The 22,845-nt window shown below is 39.2% G+C and overlaps 1 pseudogene, besides 1 other annotated feature; it reads right to left on the bottom strand.

Annotated features, from left to right (window-relative positions):
* Positions 1,703-1,952: an enhancer, noted in NCBI's record as "active region_6631". NCBI's record gives its function as "activates an Ori minimal core promoter by ATAC-STARR-seq in GM12878 lymphoblastoid cells {active_cell/tissue: GM12878}" and the evidence as "EXISTENCE:reporter gene assay evidence [ECO:0000049][PMID:35858748]".
* Positions 7,313-8,474, bottom strand: HNRNPA1P70 (heterogeneous nuclear ribonucleoprotein A1 pseudogene 70; annotated as a pseudogene).

Genomic DNA, 22,845 nt, shown 5'->3' with positions numbered 1-22,845 from the left:
ATTTTTGGTAGAGACGGGGTTTCACCATGTTGGCCAGGCTGGTCTCGAGCTCCTGACCTCAAGTGATCCGCCAGCCTCGGCCTCCCAAAGTGCTGGGATTACAGGCGTGAGCCACTTCGCCCAGCCTCCTGAGCTTGTTTTCCTGCAACTAGATGGTCCCATCTGGGGGTGATGGGAGACAATGACAGATCATCAAGCATTAGATTCTCACTCATCTCCTGAAGCTCATGCCTTTTATATATAAAATACCTACGGGAATTTGGTTAACAAAGGCAGCTAAAATGATGTGAGGACATGAAGTCCAATAGGCAAATATTGGATCAGAACATTATGCCAGAGATGTCCGGAGCTCTCTGGGAGGTGTTGAGAGATGAATGAAGGGTGGGGGATAGGCACTGACAACCCTTGGAGAGCCAGGTGGAGAGGTAGTGATGATTAACTTTAGTTGCTCTCCCACAAGGCTGGGAGAAATTAATGAGCAACAGAATGAATAAGCAAGTTTACTAAAGTTTAGGCAACTTCAATGACTTGAATATGCATAATGTACCACTGCTAAGACATAGTTGAGTAAAGAGGTATGCAACTAAAAATTCCCCAGGCTTCACTAGATTATGTTAGAAAATACATTAATTACAGAATATTCAAATCCTGTGGTTAATTGTCTTCATTCCTGAAACAAAGCCCAAAGTCCTTGCAAAGTTGCCTCCCCACCAGCCTTTTTGGAGCCATCAGGGCATATGCTCAGAGATAAATCTGCTCATATGGCACCTGCTACCTTCCTGGCATGCATCTCTCAGGTGTCGTCTCAGGAGATTGTCCCTCTCCTGCTGGGTGTCACAGACTTGGGGAGCCTGCAGCCAGGCACTGCCACTGAGCCTCACCACTGAGGGGTTTATGAGGCCATCCTGGCTTTAGGGGCTCCAAGTGTCACGTTGACCAAAGCAGTCCATTTTCATCTGTTTTATAAAGGGTCCTGTGTATCTCAATGGAAAAGTATTCAGCCTTCTAAAAGATGTTTGAAGACGATTTCACCAGAGCTTCCATGGAGCCAGGACCCTGCTGTATTTCAGGGAAAAGTGGGCAAGTGTTCATTTTCCAGCTTGATGCAGAACTTTGTTGCCTGGGGAGCAAAGTACCGCTGTTCAAACTCCAAGTCTTACAAAATTGCTTATTAAAATAATTCCTGACATTTTGGCTTCTACATCTTTTCTCCCTAGGTGTCAGGCCTAATCAGTGAAGTAGACTGGAATTAAACACCCCATCTTTTTCTGTCAGAGTTCTCAGTTGTCACCAATTAAAATCTAGTAGTAGCAGAAAAGGAATTTATTAAAGAATATAAGATTTCCCAGGAGGCCGGAAAGCAGGCTGGGAGGCTTCCCAGCCAGCACCAATTCTCAGAGTCACAGTAAAGAACAGACCAGGTGGGAATAACTGCTGACTCCACCAGGCACAGACTCCTGCTGGTACTAGCTCGTGGTGTGACCTTAGCCATCCCTCCCTCTAGTAACTGAATTCACCAGCTGCCATTCTCACCAGAGTGGGCTCTAGGTGGCACTTGTTTCTTTGCAATACATGCTTGTGATTAGAAAACTTGCTGAGGTGCACGTGATTGTCTGGGTCTGTGTCACAGACCAGTGTACTGGCTGCAGAGGAGGTGGGGAATTCTCCAAATATAGGAAGTGTGTTCAATTGTGTTGAGAAGCCCAGACGAGTGATAACATGTTCACTTGAACATCGCTGTCCTCGGGTTCTCTTCCTCTCCTCTATACCTACCCCCAACTACACCCACGCCAAAGCCACAGTACCTTTCCTCCTCATCCACTTAAAGCCAAATATTTCATTAGAATTGAATTATTTGAGGCCTGTCACCACCACCTCACCAAACATGCCCAGACATGACTGAACCTCAGCACTGGAAACACTTAGGCTCAAGCTGAAAGTTTCTTAAGTGCTACACATTAGAAACAACCAACCATTCCTAAACTAGTCCATGAAACCACAGGACACTAAGAAAGGATAGCCCAGATCTAGTAAAGAACACAAACATGTTTTCATGACAGTGATAATAGATCTTCGTTTACACCACCACTGATTTGAAAGGCTATACTGTTTGTTTTGTTTCTTCTTTTATTCTTTATTCAATATTCAACTTAACTATTGAGTGGACCTAAGCACTGTTAATAAAGCAGTAAACAAAGCCCTGCCCATAAAGTGTTAATATTCTAGAGGGAGACGCAGACTATGAACAAGGACTCAAATGCATACACAGTGTAAGTTCAGACAGTGATAAGTACATTAAGGAAAATAAAGGAGGGTTAAGGAATAGACGGTGATGGGACTGATGCTCATTTATATTGAGTGGTCTGGGAAGGTTCAAGCAGATTTGAATCATGGAACAGTGTAATATGAAGAGATTTGGGATCAGAGGTGCCTGAGTTGAAAACATACCCAGGAGCTAAAGTGAGAGGAAGAAGGTCAGAGTGTGGTGGAAAGAAGCCTGAAGATGAAATGAGACAGATAAATAGGGCCAAAATATGGAGGTTCTTGTGGGCCACCATTAGGAGTTTAGCTTTTATTCTAAGCATAATTGAAAGCCATTGGATAGTTCTAAGATGAGCAGTGATGATAGGCTTAGACTTACATTTTTTCAAAGTTCTCACTGGCTGCCCTATAAATAGTAGATTATGGGGTTTTAAATTGGAGATGAGGAACCTCTCAGTAGACTTTGCTGTGATCCAGGTAGAGAAACATGTTGGGTTGGACGAGGGTGGGAGCAGTGGAGATGGTGAGATCAGATCAGGTTTGGGATGTATTTTGCAGCCCAGTCTGTCAGGATTTGCTGATGCTTTGTATGTGAAAATGAGGCAGAAAGAATCCAGTATGAACTTCTAGGAAAGCACTTTGTGACCGATTGTATTTTATGGAAATGACTACAGTATTTCCTGTTAATATAGTTTTCCAGAAACTTGCTACTCCCTCATCAAGAGTTGGAGTCTGTGTCCTATCCCCTTGGAACTAAGAGGGCTTTTGTTAGACTTTTAACTATTAAAATATGGCAGAAGTGATACATGTCTTTTCTGAGTCATTAAAACGTGATCCCACTGCTGCCTGATTTCACTGGGACACTCATGCTGTAACCCAGCTACCATGCTGTGAGGAAGCCCAGGTCGCATGGAAAGGGCCAAGTGGAAAGGCACCCAGGCCCCAGCCCTCAGTATCAGCTATGCTTCCTGCCAACAGTCAAGATTTTCTTGCTAGCTTTTGAGTGAGGTTTATTGGACGTATGCTCTCAGATGCATGACTGGATCCTTCTCATTACTACACTTATTCCAGTCCTTGATTTTTGTCTACAAAGTGATTTGAACTATTAGAAAACGTCCCCAAAGCAGGCTATAAATGGCCCTGAGCTCAGTCTCCATTTTGTATGATTCACAGTGCCCTTCTCCCCGTTTTTCCATCAGACAGGACATCTTTCTCTGAACCTGTCGTCCACTCTGTTCTTATTCCTCTGCTGCCCTCTAGGGGCCATTAGCCACATTGCCCCATTTAGATCCTTTATGCTTGGGGGAAAAAAAAAAAGTTACCATTGATTGACTGGAAGGAACTATTCTAAACACTTCATATATACTTACTCCTTTATTCTTGACAATCCTATAAGGCAGATACTACTATTAGCCTCCTTTTAAAGATGAGACAACAGAGATTAAAAAATTAAGTAATTTGTCTAGGCAAGGTCCTACAATGACAAAGCTGGAATTTGAACCAAGGCAGTCTTGTTCTAGAGTTTATATCTGCATTATCCTCCTTCTCCTTTGGTAGGACAAAGTAGATCTATTGGGCATGCATATGAGACTTGTTTACATCTATACCTTGTAAAAATAAATTTGCTTTTAAACTTAGGTATTTATCTTTTGCCTTGATGACGGCAGCAGGTGCCTAAATGGCCTCCCCAGGCATGAACAGATTCCCCACCAGTTCTGCTCTCCATGCGGTAACCAGAGTGACCTTTTTAAAAAATTGTGAATGAATAAACTAAAGAATACTTTCTCTCATCACCTCTTCTCTATACAGAAAAAAATATAACCAGTCTTACCAAAAAGTTAGATTAGTCAGCTAAGCAAACAGGGTTCGAATATTCTAGCACCCTGAAACCACAGTCTAAAATGGTCTTCTGATGTGTGGTTATAACACTTAATATACAGTGTTTGTCTCTTAGTAACTTTAGGTTTATCTTATTCAGCATCACATTATTTATCCTGTAAGGAAGTAAGCATATCTTCTCTGTTTCATAAGAAGATACCTTACTGTACAAAATGGTACTGTGGCCTAAAGTCACCCAATAAATATGGTGCAGGTTTGGAGTTGTTACTTAGAGTAGAATGCAACTCCTAAAATCTAAATATTTTTCAAAACCTGGATGAGATGTGCAGTGGAACCCTGTAAACACAATCTTTTTTTTGAGACGGAGTCTCGCTCTTTCGCCCAGGCCGGAGTGCAGTGGCGCTATCTCGGCTCACTGCAAGCTCCGCCTCCCGGGTTCACGCCATTCTCCTGCCTTAGCCTCCGGAGTAGCTGGGACTACAGGCGCCCGCCACCGCGCCCGGCTAATTTTTTATGTTTTTAGTTGATACGGGGTTTCACTGTGTTAGCCAGGATGGTCTCGATCTCCTGACCTCGTGATCTGCCCGCCTCGGCCTTCCAAAGTGCTGGGATTACAGGCAGGAGCCACCGCGCCCAGACAACACAATCTTAAACAGAAGCTTTATATGTAAACCACATAAAAGCTGCGCAAGTTGAATAGGAGGCAATAAATGAGGGAGGTGTGTGCTTGGGCCTCTAGAAAGACATAGGAAGCATATTTGAGAAATCTCTAGGGCTTGGCTTCAAAAACATTATTGTAAAGCATGTGTGCATCTAAGGTAACGGCGCTATAACTTGTAATAAAGATGGGAAGGAGAGAAGCTGCCAATCCCAAACTGATGGTCAATATTTGTGGATTCCAACATTCCCAGTTCCTTTATTTATTTCTGGACTATCTAGTTTTCTATGGCTCATCAAATAAAAATCAATATGCCCATATTTACACAAAGCCACCTTCATGCCCTCTTCCAGGAGGAACCAGAGAACTTGAGACTTCCCAGCTACAATTTCCAACCTTGCTCTTCTGGGTTTTCCATTCCATGTTGAGCACTCAGAGATTTTACTAGGTTTAAGCTTTCTTGCCTGGTGGGTGGGAGTAGGGAGGGGGGTGGAAATGAGGTGACCATTTATTGAGTATTTGCTCTGAGGCAGTGGTGGTGGGGTCGGGGGTTCCTTCCTGCTTATCAGAGCTGTGCACCTGCTCACTTGCCAGATGATATGCAAAAAAGAATCCAAAGAAGCAGCAAGAAAGCCAATACGTTTTCTTAGATCAAAATGACATATCCCAAAGCTCCTCTCTTTCCGATTATTTTTGATGAGAGCAAAATTATTATACTCAACTCCAGTGTGAATCTACATCACAGGGGGAGATTATTTTAGGTGAAAATTCCCTTATGATTAAATAGATGTTTGTGTGCTTATTTTTGTTGTTTTAAGAATCCTCCAGGATAATTCTGATGCAAACAGGCCTAAAGCCAGAAAGACTGACATACAGGTTTATTTGATAAATTGAAGTTTATTAAATACTATGACCATTATTTTCTGCATTAACCTTATAATATTGGTCACTTGTCTTCCTTTCAAGTTTAAAAACATTTTTTTAAACAGGCTTGAAACCTGCGGGGAAAACATATTATTGTGACATATCACATATCACAACATATCACATTGGCCCTGAGGATTAAACTGTTTCCAGATCCATCTGGTCTGACAGACATAAGTGATTGATTCTTGCTTGGTCTGTAACACACCCCAAATGCATTCACCTGCTATGCCATTGCCCCCTCTTCATTTTCTACTATGAGCTTTAAAAAACTGGAGTTATACATCTCATGGCTCTTAAACTAATGCATGGCTTGTTCCTGACTGCCTTCCAGCACTGGAAGAAAAAAGTAATATCTTTGTGACAGCATGATTACTTCCACCTGTGACAGCTCTTCTCCATTGTGAAATCTGCAAAGAAATCATCTGGAAGGGGAAAATACATGTGTTCTGGGATTAAAGACATAACAGGCATGTACTGAATGTGTCAAAAAATTTGAGATGTTGAGGGAGCTGAAGACAAGCCCTCTACATTGTAGATGTAGTACCATAAGGAATTTTCTAAAGAAGTCTTATGAAGCAATTGTTTTCAGTGGTTTACTACATTTATGAATCTTCAGCCCATCAGTGGAAAATATGATGCTCTGAGAGTCAGCCATGAAGCTGGGCTAGAGTGGGGTGCTAGTTTATCTTGAAAGATAGTTCTTTCAAGATGTATAATGCCCTGTTTCTCCCAGCTATTACATTTCACTTCATTTCTCTAGACCACAGGGTTCTAAGACACTTAGTCTAATTTAGAGGCAGTCTTTTGTTAAGACACCACTGAAGCATATAAAGTTCAGCCAGTGGGACCCAATTGGGTAGCTTTATAGAGAGAAGTCCAGATTTAGTTATCAATGTTAATAGGTAGGTCTTTTCATTAATGTCAGCCAACCAATGTACTACAACACATCATATTGTTTTTTAAAGGACACATCTAATTAGCATCATGATCAGACTATTACATTGAGCAGTCAACAGCATGGGTGCAAAGAAAAATTGACATTAAAACCCTTTATAGGCATGGTTTACACTTTCTACAGAACAGAAACTAAAATAAACTGTTGTACAATTGGTCACAACTACAGTCCTTGAGATTTTTGCCCATACACATGAATATTGTCAAAAACATGTCTTCTTTGTAGCAGCTAGGTCCTACCACGACTGTGCTTGGCTGAGTTAAAAAATCTGTTGTAACCTGTAGTTTCCTTGTCATGTTTCCAGCTGTCCTCTCCTGCTAAGCTTTGTCTCGTGACAGTAATTAAAATCTGGCTGGGCACAGTGGCTCATGCCTATAATCCTAGCACTTTGGGAGGCCAAGGCGGGTGGATCACGAGGTCAGGAGTTTGAGATCAGTCTGGCCAACATAGTGAAACCCCATCCCTACTAAAAATACAAAAAATTAGCTGGGTGTGGTGGTGGGCACCAGCTACTAGGGAGGCTGAGGCAGGAGAATTGTGTGAACCCAGGAGGCAGAGGTTGCAGTGAGCCGAGATCACGCCATTGCACTCCAGCCCGGGGGCAACAGTGCGAGACTCCGTCTCCAAACAACAACGACAAAAAAAAAAAAAAACAAAAACAAAAAACAGTAGCTACTGCTGTAGCTACTGTTGCTACTGGAACCACCATAGCCACCTTGGTTTCGTGGTTTGGCAAAGTATTGGCCTCCACCACCATAGGGGTCAGAGCTTCTGCCTTCAAAGTTTCCTGCCTTCATGGGTTCAAAATCTGAAGACTGATTGTTGTACTTGCCAAAATCATTGTATCTTCTACCACTTCTGCAATTGCTTCCACTACCACTGCCAAAGCCCCTTCTGCTTCCGTCGTTATAGCTGTCACAGAAGCCACTGCCCTTGTTTCTACAACCCTCTCCACCACTTCCATAGCCTTGGCTTTCTTCAGAGTAACCAGGGCCACCTCCTCCATAACCAGTGTCATTACCAAATCCATTATAGTCATCCTCACTGCCACCATATCCACTACTATCACAGCTGCCGCCAAAGCCACCATGACCACTGAAGTTTTCTCCATGACCAAAGTTGTCTATCCCACCAAAACTGCCTCCATGACCACCACCAAAGTTTCCAGAACAATTTTGGCTTCTTTGCCTGGATGAAGCACTAGCCACCTCTTGCTTTGACAGGGCTTTCCTAACTTCACAGTTGTGGCCATTCCCAATGTGGTATTTCTGAATGACAGTCTTATCCACGAAGTCATGGCCATCAAAGGTGACAAAAGCAAAGCGCTTTTTCTTGCCACTGCCTTGGTCAGTCATGGTTTCAATCACTTCAATTTTCCCATGCTGTTCAAAATAATCTCTTTGGTGATGTTCTTCAGTGTCTTCTTTAATGCCGCCAACAAATATCTTTTTCACGGCTAAGTGGGCACTTGGTCTCTGAGAATCTTCTCCTGAGATAGCTCTTTGGTTGTACAACTCTTCCATCCCCTTGTGTGGCCATGCATGCATCTGCCTCCTCCACAGTGGCATTTGTGACAATCCCAAAAGCTCTGGAGCACTTGGTGTTTGGATCTCATTGCTACACAGTTTGTGAGCATTTCCCCATTACTCAAAATGGCTCCTCAGGCTCTCAGCGGTTGTTTCAAAGCTCAACCCTCCAATGAGGAGCTTCCACAACCATTTAGGCTCTTTAGGAGACTCCAACTTAGACACGACAGCAGTGGGAAGAGAGACTTTAACAATGCTTCCTCAACAGCGTCCCCTAGCAGAAAGGAGAAAACTAACAAACGTATCTCAACACACCATATTCTAAACTTTGAAAATGGACTCTGTATTCAATTAAGTTTTCTTCCATCTGGTCAGTAGGTTCCTATGCAGCACATGCTTGCCATGTTTGTTAGTCACTTGAAAGCTTACCTCAAGGCTGGATGATTGATCCAGAAAGTCCCAACTCATTCAGATGTCCAGGCTTGTGTATTTATGAATCTACTCTTGGTCCTGAACCACCCCATCGGAAGGTGTGGTAGAGGAATGCTATCAGCTGCAGTCAGAAGGCTCACTACAGGGATGAATCCTAGCTCCAGGGAAACAGACAAATAATGAAGACTCCAAACCGAGAGAAACTGCACTGCGATCTAGAACCTGGACTCCTTAGGTATATGTTAATTTGAAAACATATTTAACATATTCCACCTGCCAGACATCGGAAATGACTAAGATTAATTTTCAAAGGTTTAGAAGAGTGACCATGTAACATGGATTGAGAAAAGATACAGCTTCTGTCCTCTCACCTCTGCCTTCCCTCTGAAGGAACTGGTTTGTGAGAAGTTAGAGCCTAGGGCCCTGGAGTTGGGTCGCCAAGTACCTTCCTGCTGAAGGCAGCCTTGATCAGTTCCTCCATAGGAACCACTGAAGCAGTTCAGTATCTATCTGAACTATCTTTCTGCACCCTACCTTTTTCGCTGAATCTGGCTCAGTGTACCTGAATTATTATTAAGGTAATAATTCATAAAATGGGATTAGTAATCCCTACCTCGAAGAGTCATTGTGAAGATCAGAAATCATTAGGTGTGATAACCAGAAGTATGGCCAGGAACTCAAATTTTCTTCATTTTATGTTGGGTTATCCAGAAGCAGAGCCTAAGTCAGAAACTGAGGACAAGGGACTTATTGAGGAAGTGTTCTTCAGGCCAAACCTATATCAGAAAAAGGGAAGTGACATAGGAAAGTGCAAATTACCAAACGAGGATATCCTCTAATGAAGTCTAGCCTTGGCCTGATCAATAGGGGACTCTGGAGCATAAGTAGTACAGCAGACTTATCATGATTTGAAGCAGACTGGACTTCCGTGTTCATGAGTCAGCCATTGGCTGTTGGGAAGTGGCGGGGCAGGTGGTGGTTGTGCCGGTGGGAGGGTAATCTCCTTGGCATATCTGGGTGAGGTGGCTTCTGTCAGCCAAGGTTCATTTTCACATTCTTTTAACTTCTACTCCTCACTTAAAAACTTTCAACCCTTAAGACTGTGTGCCTGAGGACTTCGTCCTCTTCTTAGAACTCCCTACTTTGGCATGTGGTTAGAAGGCATCTTTGAGCTCACTTTAGAGGATTGAGCATGTATGAAACAGAAGCAGTGTGATTCAAGGTTCTGGCACAGTATTTGGCATATAGCAGGAACTCTATAGATGCTGGCTCTTTTAAAAAAAATCTCCTGCCCCTAAAACTGTCCTTCATTTTGGAGAATTCCTGGCAATACATTGTCCTTCCATGTCATGCCAGAGGTGGACAAAATAGAAGAGAATGTAATCAAAGCACCTAGGACACAGTACAAGTACATAATAAATAAGTGTTGGTTACATTTCTTCCTTCCCTTTCATTAGCTTTGTCCTGGGACCATTCATGTATTTTGAATTTTCTTATGGTGCAGAAGAATTTATTTTATCCAGTTAATTATTAGGGACATTAATATTCATAATAATCACCCTAAATATTATATTCAAAGTGGATTTGGAGTCATAATCATTTTGGGGGAATACAGTTGTAGAAAATAGCCAAATTTTATCTTGTAAAAATCTTTTATCTTTTTTTATCTCTGGTTCTTTTAAAGCACATGTAATAGGTACTATCACCCAATTTGGTACTTATAAATCTGCACTTTTCCCTACTTTTTTTTGAAATAGCATAAGGGTAAGGAGTTTCTACTGTACCCCTCCACCATTCCTATGCCTCCTGCTCCTGATCTTTGCTTACTGTCAGGAGCAAAGAAAGTGCCCAGTTAATGCTTGTTATCCTGATCAAGCGCAGTAGTGAGCAAGTTAAGACATCCATGAATCAACTGAGAATAACCCCTTAATAAATAAATGAGAAATTTCTTCCAGAATTTTGTGCCAGGAATATAGCAACAACTAGTAAATTTTAAATGCTCAGTTTTTTTTATTTCAGTAATTGTACTTTTATGAAAGCGTCCTTAAAAAACTAGAACCATGCCAGATGTCCATCAAAAAAATAGTTAAATTGTTGCATTCAAAATTTATTGTTACATACAAATTCCATTAAACAAGGAGTTAGATATATATAGACTTACTTAAAAAGCCAAGATACAAGAAAAAAACAAATTTTAACACACACACACACACACACACACACACACACACACAAGCCCAGTTGAAACTTTTTATTTAGTTGTGAGGTAGAAATTAAATTTTGCTTTCTTCTAGATGGATCAACAATCTTAACATCATTTATGAAATAGTCTGAATTTACTCCACTAAATTGAACATGTTAATTTTGCTATATATCCAGTTTCCATAGTTAAATGAATCTTTTTCTGAATGCTATTGATTTGACTCTTCTTTTAGTGACATCATGATTAACTGAACACAGTACCTTTACAGACAGTTTTAAGAGCTGCATAGCAAGTACCCAATTCTACCTTTCTCAATTTTATTTTTTGTAAAAGTTTCCAGGCAATCTCCCATACCAATTTTTACATTAATGTTACAACTTCAGTCTGTTTGAAAAAACCAGAAACATTCGTATCAGACTTAAGTTGAATTAAATATTGATTAATTTGGGGGAGGAGTGATCATTTTATAAAAATGTCTTTCTACTTACTTTCAGTATAATTTTCTTACAGGTTTTCAATACTCCCACTCCTATTTTGGGGTGAATAGGAGTGGGTGAATAGAAACAAATATTTCTGTATTTGTTTTCTAACTGGTTATTGCTAGTATAGAGGAAAACTATCAATTTTTATTTATTTTGTATCAAGCCACTTAATGAACTCTTATTTTTTCTGATTATTTTTCATGTTTAGTGTTTTATTTAGTCTTCATCAGTTTTGGGGGGAAATGTTGTGGTTTCTTTTAACTCTGAGTTAGACACAGGAAGGATATAGTAAATGACAAACCCTCTTACAACCAAGTTCAAATTAGTTTCATTCTTATTCTTTATTTTTGTGATTCTATAAGCACCTTTCCAACCTCTAACTGGAGAAAGGAAAGCGATATATAAGCACGTGTGTGGCCAGGTCCTCCTGCTCTCACTCTGTCCAGGACGGCATGCCAACAAAACTCCTGAACTGGAAATTCCCATGATCGGTAGAGGGGAAAAACAGCAGCTTGTACGTAAGAACCCACAGGCCAGTGAGTCTTCTTTGTATCCTATCAGGTGGATAGGAGCTGGCTCAGGTAGGTTTATTTCAATTTTACAGGACTGATTTGAGCAGTCAGAATACAACCAGGGGCCAACCTTCCCACTTTCATACTCCTGACTCTAGTTATTATCAGGATTACAGTGATTTGATGGTCATACATCCCACAAAACATCTTCACAAGACAGTGCTCTGTAAATAAATAGCTCTTGCAAAAGTAGAGATGCAAATTCACGCAGTGTTGCTGACTCAACAGTTCAGCGAAATAATTTTAAAAGAGGGACCTTGATTTTATCTTATGTGTTTTACGTAAGCTGAGAGGACAGAGGGAAAGTCATTAATGGTTTTTAGCCCAAGGAATAAGCATGTGGGTCTTTCTGTCACCTTTCATGACACTTCTCTTCCCAACTCCTCTACTGAACTTTTTGGCCCTTTGTCCGATCAGCACATCATACCTACCATTTATCATTCTATCCACCCCTTCATATAGATATTAGTGAGCTGTCAAGAATCACCCCCATAACATGCCCCCGCCCCTACTACCACCAACAACAAATTGTGTAGAGGTGGAGGTGTTTTATAAGTACAGATGCTCCTCAATCTACAACGGGGTTATGTCCCGTTAAACTCATGGCAAAGTTGAAAAATCATAAGTCAAACCATCATAAGTCAGAGAGTTTCTTTGTAAAGACAAGAAAAATAGATGATAACGTTTTCTGAAGCACTTATCACACACACGACTCACCTCTAGGCTTTTAGTAATTTAGCAATGCTGTTTTTTTTTTTAATCCTGCTGCCTAGAATTCTGTGGAGTAAATCTCTGCTGAATATGCATGTTTCAATCATTATAGTGTGTTCTTTTCTATAAAAAATTCTGCCTTTGACTCATGATAGCTGTATAACACCTATTTTGTTATTAAGTATTTTGAACTGATTGACAACAGATAGTTCTCTGTTCTGCTGCCTCAGCAGATCCTGATAGATGGAAATAAGCCTTCTTCACTGAAAAATCTCACTGTTTTTGAGCAGATTCTTTAACAACAGTCCGTGGAAGTTCTGATGCCAGTTGGCCCAGTGTATAGGATTACAAATTCGCCCCAATTCGAGAAGATATTTTTCTTAATTACTATACATATATGTTGTCACTTTTAATTTTTTTAATTATAAAAGTAAAAAAAATCACCATTAAAGACATTTAAAAAAATAAAATCAAGAAGATAAAAGTAATGACCACCCAATTATCCAAACAGAAACTCTACACTGTACCATCTTTGCATTTACATTGAATATTATCAATTAGAAAAATACTATTTATACCAGTAAAAAAAATGTGTCTTAATGTTGTTTTATTTTGGATTTCCATTACAACTGAGAATGAATATAGGTTTTGTATGTTTGTTGATTAGTTATATAATCAAAAACCATAATTATTTTTAATTTCCCTTTGTAGTTAATTTTGTATTTATTTGTATTTCCGCCTTTTTTCTTATTTTTTTGTCCATTAATACAAGCTCATAATACAATAAAGTTATTAATGCTTTTAGTATTTTCTGTAGCCATTTTCACAATTTGATACTTGTCTTATGATTTTTAGAGTTTAGATATTAAAGTTTTAAATTTGTATATGGCTCAATCTTATTTTTATCTCTTAAGCCTTTTATCATTTCTAAGCTAAGTGCTTTTGAATCTAGACATTTGATAAATATTTATTTCACTTTTTTTACTGGTTTCTGTTGTTTAATTTTTAATGTTTACTTCTTTATCTAAAATATATTTTGGCCTATGAAATGAGATGAGGCTCTAAATTAATTTTTCTTTGTAAATTGCTAACTGATCCCTCATAGAGCACTTACTGACTAAACCTTCAGGTTTCTGATTGACCAATGCCATCTCCTTTATGAAACTATAGTGCTATATGTAATATGTTCTACTTCTGGGCTGCAGATTTTATTTTTAGCCTAGTAACAAATCGTTTTTATTTCAGAGGCTATATAACATGTTGTAATATGTTAGATCTGTTAGTATATCTGCAAATTTTAGTATTTGCACTAGTTTTTGTAATTTTCTCATCTCTATTATTTTCTGAATTTACTTTAGAACAATTTTGCCGTGTGTGTGTGTGTGTGTGTGTGTGTGTGTATCACTGAAATTTTGGCAGGAATTAAGTTGAATATATGAATTGATTTCAGAAGAACTGTTATATTTAGAATAGTCAAAGGAGAAAATCTTTGATCTTCTAGGCTCTACTAACAGTCATGATGTATGATAGTACTTTCTCAAAGTATACTGAAGGGGTTTAGAAATAGGAAAATGGAAGCAGGTTGATAAAATAGTAAATAATTGGTTAGCACAGCCACATGGACATGTTGGCCAAGTTCCACAGAAAGATCCTATTTTTAATCATTATTATCACCATCAATTTCATGAACATAAACTTATCTCATCATTTTTACCCACAAAGAACAGGCCAAAATTAATCACTAGCTAGGTGCTTGATATTGAGACTATCAAAAGCAGACTTCCTCAATCTGGCCTGTGATATGATTTGGCTGTGTCCCCACCCAAATCTCAACTTGAATCGTATCTCCCAGAATTCTCATGTGTTGTGGACCTAGGGGGAGGTAACTGAATCATGGGAGCTGGTCTTTCTTGTGCTATTCTCGTGATAGTGAATAAGTCTCATGAGATCTGATGAGTTTATCAGGGGTTTCCGCTTTTGCTGCCTCCTCATTTTCTCTTGCTGCCACCATGTAAGAAGTGCCTTTCACTTCCTGCCATGATTCTGAAGTCTTCCCAGCCATGTGGAACTGTAAGTCCAATTAAACCTCCTTTTCTTCCCAGTCTCTGGTATGTCTTTATCAGCAGCATGAAAACGGACTAATACAGCATATAAGTCTTAGCATGATTATATACTTCCAGGTTTATTCTTTCTGCCTAAAATGTTACTCTTTCTGCTTCCCCCCATCATAAATTCCTTTTAGTCCATCAAGATCCAGATCATATATAATTTTCTCTGTTGGTCTCTAATGACCCTGGCAGTTAGTGACCTCCTTCTCTTTAACTCCTAGTGCTTTATTTGTATTTCTCTGATCAGCTTGCCTTTTTGAATTGTAACTACTTGCATATACTTCTATCCCTCACTAAATCGAAGTCCTTGAGCACAGGGACTTCAGTTTTTCATTGTTATAAATATCTGAATGCTGAGTATCAAGTATAGACTTGAATACATGTTTCATGTTTACCAAATGAATATATAGAGAATAGAAGAAAACGATTCTAGTTCACAGACATTTCTGTAGGAAAAACATTGATATAAAAATTCCTAGGAAATGTTTTGTACATTTCAAACATTCCGAAGCCATTTAATAGAACTTTTTGAAACCTCAAAACTCTAAAAGCTGGTCGTGTGTGTGTGTTGTAGGCAGTAATTTCCTCCTGAGATTTCAAGATGACGTGTGTCAGGTAGTTAATCTGTCACTATTGCTTCAGTACAGATGAACATACATAATTTTCTAAATAATGCTCAGCTGTAGAAGCATCACGCTGAAAGCACACAGCAGTGGATAGGTAACTTGGTGAGATGGATGGAAATGCCACTGCCAAGCTGGACTTTCCCGGGTGGAAGGCCTGTGTGCTAAATGGAAACCGCACACTCGACCTGTGAAAAACATTTTCATGTCAGCAGAATTGACTTGAAATGTGGATGAGGCTGACAATTCTTTACATGGTGTTTACTTCCTTCAAAAAAATCTTCCTGCCCGCCTTCAAAGGGACTTAATACTCTCACTATCGTATTGCACTTTCAAGTGTGGCAAAACAAATTAAATCGCTATGAGCTACAACACTCACTTAGGCATGGGTTGGACTTTGTACGTTTTTTGAACCACTTAGTGCAAATGGCCAGCCCGCCCCAAGCACATCATCAATCCCTTATGAAAGAGAACTCTTGGGTGCACTCCATATCCACAGCCTTGCCTGTCATCACAGTCTTTGATTCTCAGCTCCCTTGACCTTGTGTGTTTTGGCTTTTTTTTTTTTTTTCTCAGTTTTTCTGGTTCTCCACTTCCTGGAAGCTTATAAAAGTTGTCTCTGGCCATTTTAGACAAACATCATTTCCAATAGTTTTAGACTCTGGGAACCTATCGCTTTGTAGCTCCCAGGAGTTGGTAGAGCTTCTCCTGGCTTGCTCTGGCATGAGTAGGAATTAGATCCTGCATAGGATCTCTGATAACATCAGTCAGGAGAACAATGACTGCAAGGGGCTGGTTCAAGGGAGACCAGCTCCTTGGAAAATGATTAAATATTGTTTATTTCTGACATCACAATCAAGTTGGGACCAAGTACATTGTATAAAGGAATGTTGTATTATTTTAGGCTCTTACCATTCAGCATAACATTTTATTTCTGACAATAAAACTGAGGGATGTATAATAAAAGAGTTGGGCAAAATTCCACTGGGCTTCAATGATCAACCTATAACCAAGCAAAGTTCCCCACATTCTTCTGAGAGTCCTCTCTAGCAAAATGTATTTTATCAAAAGACTGTTATCTATAAAAAAGTAAGTATATATAAAGCAGCTTGTCAGAAATGGTGCACTAAACTATGACAGAGAATGATGAAGTTATTGCAATATTTGAGTAATTATTGGTATGTGAATCATTTATAATTTACTGAATACTTTGACTTACATATTATTATTTGGTCTTCCTGATTCCAGTCTCACTCCACTAAAATATGTTCTCAATAAAATAGATCACTAAAATGCAGTAAAATGATGATATCACTCCTCTGCTCAAAACTCTTCAATGGTTTTCCTATATCTCACTCAGATTAAAAATCAAGGCCTTGCAATGAGGCTGACAATTCTCTCTGTGGTATTTACCAGTCCCCACCACCCCTCAATTTTCTCTGTTCTCCAGTAGAGAGGCCTAAAATTCACACTACTAGTATTAATTGTTTGAGTTCACGGTCATGATGATCAGGAACAAATCCTCTGGCCCACATGATCTAGTTCTCTTTAGTTCTCAAATCTCATTTCACTTCCCTGGCTCATTCCAGCCTAGCCACAATGTCCCCATTTTTCCTCCAACACTGCACTCTTGGGATAAACTCTACTTGGTCTTCTTTTAGGTATTGTCACATTCAACTTGCTAAAATTTTGCTAAGGATTTTTCGTCTGTGCTCACAAGGGAAATTGGTCCATGGTTTTCATTACTTATGTCTTTGATTTTGGTATCAGAGTAATGCTAGCCTTGTGGAATGAGTTGGGAAGTATTCACTCCTCTTCAACTTCTTAGAAGAGTTCACATAGAATGAGTATTATATCATGCTTAAGTGTTTGTTAGCATTCACAGATGAAATAATTCAGGCCTAGGATTTACTTCGTGGAAAGTATTTTCATTCATATACTTCTTTATAAATTGAATTTTTAAAAATAAACTTAATTTCCTTAATAGATGCAGGGCTATTTAGTGTCTTCTGTTTCTTCTTGAATGCATTATGATAGCTGTATTAGTCAGTTCTCCCATTGCTATAAAGAAATACCTGAGACTGGGTAATTTATAAATAAATTAAAATTTTTTTAAAATAAATAAAATAAATAAAAGTTTTAATTGGCTCACAGTTTGATAGGCTGTACTGGAATTATGGTGCTGGCATCTGCTCAGCTTCCGGGGAGGCCTGAGGAAACAGAATCACGGTGGAAGGCGAAGAGGGAGCAGGCAGATCACATGGCCAGAGCAGCAAGAAAGGATGAAATGGGAGGTGCTACACACTTTTAAACAACGAGATCTCATGAAAACTCACTCACTGTCACAAGAACAGCACTAAAAGGATGGTGCTAAACCACTCATGAAGGACCCACCTCCATGATCCAGTCACCTCCCACCAGGCCCTCCCTCCAACATTGGAGATTACAGTTGAACTTGAGATTTGGATGGGAACGTGGGTCAAAACTGTATCGATAGCTTATACTACTCAAGATATGTGTACATTTTCATCAAAGTTGTCAAGTTTATTGGCATAAAGTTGTTCATAATATTTCTTTATTTTCCTTTTATTATTGGTCAAATCCGGACTGTCACTTCTCACATTCCTAATATGGGTAGCTTGTGTTTTCTCTTTCTCTTTTTCTGATCTGTTTTATGAAAGGTTTATCAGTTTTGATTTTCTCAAGGACAAGTTTTTAATTTTATTAATTTTCTCTATCATTTTCTATTTTCTATTTCATTGTTTCCCACTCTGATCTTTATCATTTTCCTTCTACTCCTTAGGTCGGGTTTTATTTTCTCTTCTTTTTCTAATTTCTTAAAGCAGAAGCTGAGGTTGTTAATTTCAAACCTTTCTTCTTTTCTGATATGGGTGTTTGAGTTTCATAAATTTAGATGTATCTTACAAATTTCAATAATTTCTGTTTTCAATTTCATTCCATTCATTCTCTTTTGATTTATTCTGTGATTCATGAGGTATTCAGAGGTGTGTTATTTAGTTTCCAAATATTTGAGGATTATCCAGAGATGCTTTCTGTTATTTATTTTTATTTATTAAATTGAGCTTCATTTAATTCTGTTGTGATCTGAGGGCACACTTTATATTGTGTGAATTCTTTTAAATTTATTGAGATTTATTTTATGGCCCAGAATATATGGTCTTGAACACTATAGACATGTTCTTGCCTCAGGGTTTTTGCATTTATTGTTCCCTCTGACTGGAATATTCTTTCCCCAAATGTCTACATGGTTTATTCCCTCAACCCCTTTGGGTCTCTGTTCAAATGTCATCATCTCTATGAGGCCTTTCCTGACCACCAAGTACAAAATGTGCATAAGCACTGCACCAGGCCCTCCTCATTCTCCTTCCCTGAATTAGTTCTATTGCACTTATTACCTGTGTGTGTGTGTGTGTGTGTGTGTGTGTGTGTGTGTAGTCTTTTACCTACTAGAACATAAATTCCATGAAGGCAGAAATCATTGTCTATTTCACTCATTAATGTACCCTCAACACATAGGACAGTGCCCAGCACATAGTAGGTGCTCTCTAAATATTTTTATATAAATTTGATTTTTAAATCACCTGTGAGAAATAGCTAGGGCTGATTTTATTATCACCATTTTGTCAATAAAGTAACCAGCTAGTGAAATGTAAAATCAAGACTCTATACACTCTCTGTTTTATAGCATAATTCCTGCCACTTAATGCCAGCTGCTTTGTAACCATTTTGTGTCAGGTATTGTGCTAGACTCCAGGGATTACAAGATGAAGCAGCACAGTTCTAGTCTTCATAAAGGTTAGGGAGGACTGGAGCTCAAGCTGCATGGTGGGAGTTGCTAGAGGTAAAACTGAAAATTAGGAAGGTCTCGTACACCATATTGGATGCTTCAAGTCTATCCACAGAGGAATGAGAAGCCATTGGAGAGCTTAAGATGGGAAGTGGCATGATCAAATTTCCAAATCAGAATGATTTAGATTGCATAAATTATTTTCATTCAATGCATATGTGTTGAGGGTCTGTTTTGTTTCAAGGACCCTTCTCAGTGCTACAGGTACAGCAAGAAACAAAAAGTCTCAGGAAGTTTACAACCTAGTGGAGAAGACTAGACAATAAACAAATAAAAATGCAATGTAATTTCAAGCAGTTGTAAATATTTTGAAAGTAAATAAAGGAAGGTAAAGGAGTTGAAAGTCATGAGGTGTGTTTAAAATAGAGTTAGGAAAGCTCTATTAAGAAAGTTACATTTGAGCAGAGATATCAGTGAAATGAAAAGGGGGGAGACACATCCAGAGAGTTCCAGGTGGATGGACAAGGACGAACACATGCAATGGTTGTGACACCAAAGTGAGCTTTGGATGCTTGAAGAAAGTCAAGGCAGCCAAAGTGACTGGAGTTGAGTGAATGATGGGGAAGAGTGATATGTAGTAAGGATGGTGAGGTGGGCAAGGGTAGATGAATGTGGGTTGTAAAATGGAGTTGAGTTTTATTCTAAGCATAATGAGAAGTCACTAGAGATTGCAAATTAGGGAAGCAATGGTATCTGATTTACTTTCAATGGTATCTGATTGACTCTGGTGGATGTGTGAGAAATGGACTGTAGCAGGGCAGGAAAGGAACCAGTATAACCATTTAGGAGACTATTACAGTAGAGCAGGCAGAACAAGATGGCAAAACCTGGAGTCCATAGTGGAGGTGGTGGGATATGAAATTGGTAAAACACACATAACTTCCTAATGGATTGGATGTGGGGTATGAGGGGAAGAGGAATCTTAGATGATTCCTAAAATTTAGCCTAAGCAATTAATCAGTGGTGGTGCCATTTCCTAAAATAGGAAAGATTGTGAGAGGGGTTGTTAGGAACTGAATTGTGCCCTACCCCTAAAATTCCTGTACTGAAGCCCTAACCTCTAATGTGACTATATTTGGAGATAGGGCCTTTAAGGAGGTAATTAAGGTTAAATGAGATCATAAGAGTGGGTCTCTAATTCAATATGGTTGATTCCTTATAAGAAGGAAGAGACACCAGAGATATGTGTGTGCAAAGAAAAGGCCATGTGAGGACATAGTGAGAAGTTATCCAAGGAGAGAGATACCAGGAGAAACCACTGCTGGCTCCTTGATCTTGGACTTCCAGCCTCTAGAACTGTGAGAGGATAAAATTCTGCTGTTTAAGTTTCCCAGCCTTATTTTGTTATGGCAACCCTAGCAAACTAAAGAGGAGTGAAGAGATAGTTAAAAAAAAAAATGAGGAGTATCCTCTTCGACATATTGAGTTCGAAATACCCATTAGGCTTCCAAGCAGAGACTGAATAGACAGGTGTACATATAATTCTGAGGCTTAGGGAAGATGTTGAGGCTGGAAACATAATGGAAAGTCACAAGATAAGGACAAAATTTGTTATAGGGGAAACACATAATCCCCAGTCTTTATGTTTCTATAGGAAACCTCCATCGATGTTACAATTGTGACTTCTCAAGAGTGACTATTCCTAGGGGAGAGGAATCGTCACAACTGATTGGTCAGCTTGGGAGAAAGAACTCAGCATTAATGGTTCATTCATTTTCTTGTATCTGGAAGGGCATATCTGCCTTCAGAGAATATACATTTTTTAATCCTCCATGCTGTAAGTTTTTCACACACCAATCTGCATTGGAGGAGGCCTGTGGTTGCCCAAATGTTCTTGTGTTTGTGTGGGTTAGTAGGTGTCGCAATCGTATTTTCCAATATAAATATTTTAAAAATAAGTAATAAGGGTAACATATTTATCTCTTCTCTTTGATTCCTATCTCTATCTTGCGATTGATTCTAATGTCATGGTTGACTAGATGAAGTCATCTGTTCAGTAGTTATTGATAGAGAACTATCTGCCTGATAAAGTGATAGTGAGAAACAGTTCCTGGCACATAGTAAGTAATGGTAAGCTACTCTTCATAGACAGGAAGAGCTGGATATATGGGAATGAAGCTAGTTAAACGGACTGAGCTGGAAATATAGCAATATTGAGAAATGAAAGCCCAAAAGAGTATATGAGTAACTAGTTGGGAAACTGGAGAATGTGTCTTTATGTGTATGCATGAATGTGAATGCACCAGCACAGTAGCTGTTGTAGTAGTGGAAGGGCAGTTAAACATACAAAGCTTTAATGATGACTATTAAGAAAATAATGTTTGTATCATGGTAATATAAAAGGTGTTGAATTTCTTGTCTCAGTTAGGATTTGGAGCTTTATCAGTTATCCATTTCTCCATAACAAATCCTGATTTAAAACACAAGAATTTATCTTGTCCTAAATTGCTATGCCTTAGCAATTTGGGCTGGGCTCAGCCAGTTGGCTGTTTTGCTGGTCTTGCCTGGGGCCACTTATCTGGCTTCAGTCATCTGGCAGCTTAACTGAGGCTGGATGGTCTCACTCACATGGCTGAAGGTTGGCTCTCCTTGTTGACCAGGTGTGGTCTCTCATTCTCATGGAGGCTGGCCCAGGCTTCCTATCTCACAGCAATGACAGCCTGAAAGCAGAAGCTGAAAGGCCTTTTGGTGCTGAGACCCTGAAGTCATATGATGTCCCTTCTGCAGCCTTCTGTTGGTTTTAGGCAAGTCACAGGGCCAAATTAAAGGGAAAAAGAAATGGACTCTATGTCTTGATGGGAAGGGGTGACAAAGTTGCATGGCAAAGAAACATGTGCACAAGAATCATAAGAATTGTTGTAGCCATCTTCGTAAGCTGATGAACAGTAGTCTGATGGCACATTTCTTGTGTTGTTACCATATGCTCACCAAATAGAATCTCAAATGTATAAAAACCTTCCTACCACCAACTATGCCCAGAATAAGAATTATACATGTTATGCTATGTGTGTGTCAAAGGTAGGAATAAGTAAAAGTGCAAGTTGATCCAGAGTTTGCACTTTGATGTGGTATTACCTGTGGCCAACTCTCCCTTGATGAGAATATAGGTAGCTGGCCAAGTGGAACAAGTGTTTTTTGTTCAGGATGTTTCTTCTACTCACTTCCACTATATCTACTTTATTCATATTATCTTCGGATCCCAGCAAGGGCATATGAAGATAGAGGCCATGCAGTAGATTCTGTCCAAGAATCCAAAAGCCACATTTTCCTTGGTGTAGAAGTCAAAGATGACCCTGTTCTGTGATGGGCCACAAAATGTTGCAGAGACCTTAGGAAGATTGTTTTTTGCTGTTTTTAAAGCAAAACTTTACTTGATTAGCTAGGGCCTCTGATTTTTCAACTCTGTTTTCCTTTCAGAATTTGAATTCAAGAAAAAGAATATCTTAACAGGTACATTGAAGCACAGCTCAGGTGTCAGACTGTCTGAGATCATACATTTAATGGCTCTGTGACCATGGAAAAGATAATTAACCATCCCATAACTCAGTTTCCTCAAGTATAAACTGATGACAACAGTAGTATCTACTTCATGCCGTTGTTGTAATAATTAAATCAGTTAATACCTGTAAAGCTGTTGAAATAATGCTGAACATACAGTTAGTATTCAAAAGGTCTTAGC

Source organism: Homo sapiens, chromosome 12 (genome assembly GCF_000001405.40).
Source record: "Homo sapiens chromosome 12, GRCh38.p14 Primary Assembly".
Taxonomy (NCBI): Eukaryota; Metazoa; Chordata; class Mammalia; order Primates; family Hominidae; genus Homo; species Homo sapiens.
The sequence above is the reverse complement of the archived record's forward strand: the minus strand, read 5'-3'. Positions and strand labels throughout refer to the sequence as shown.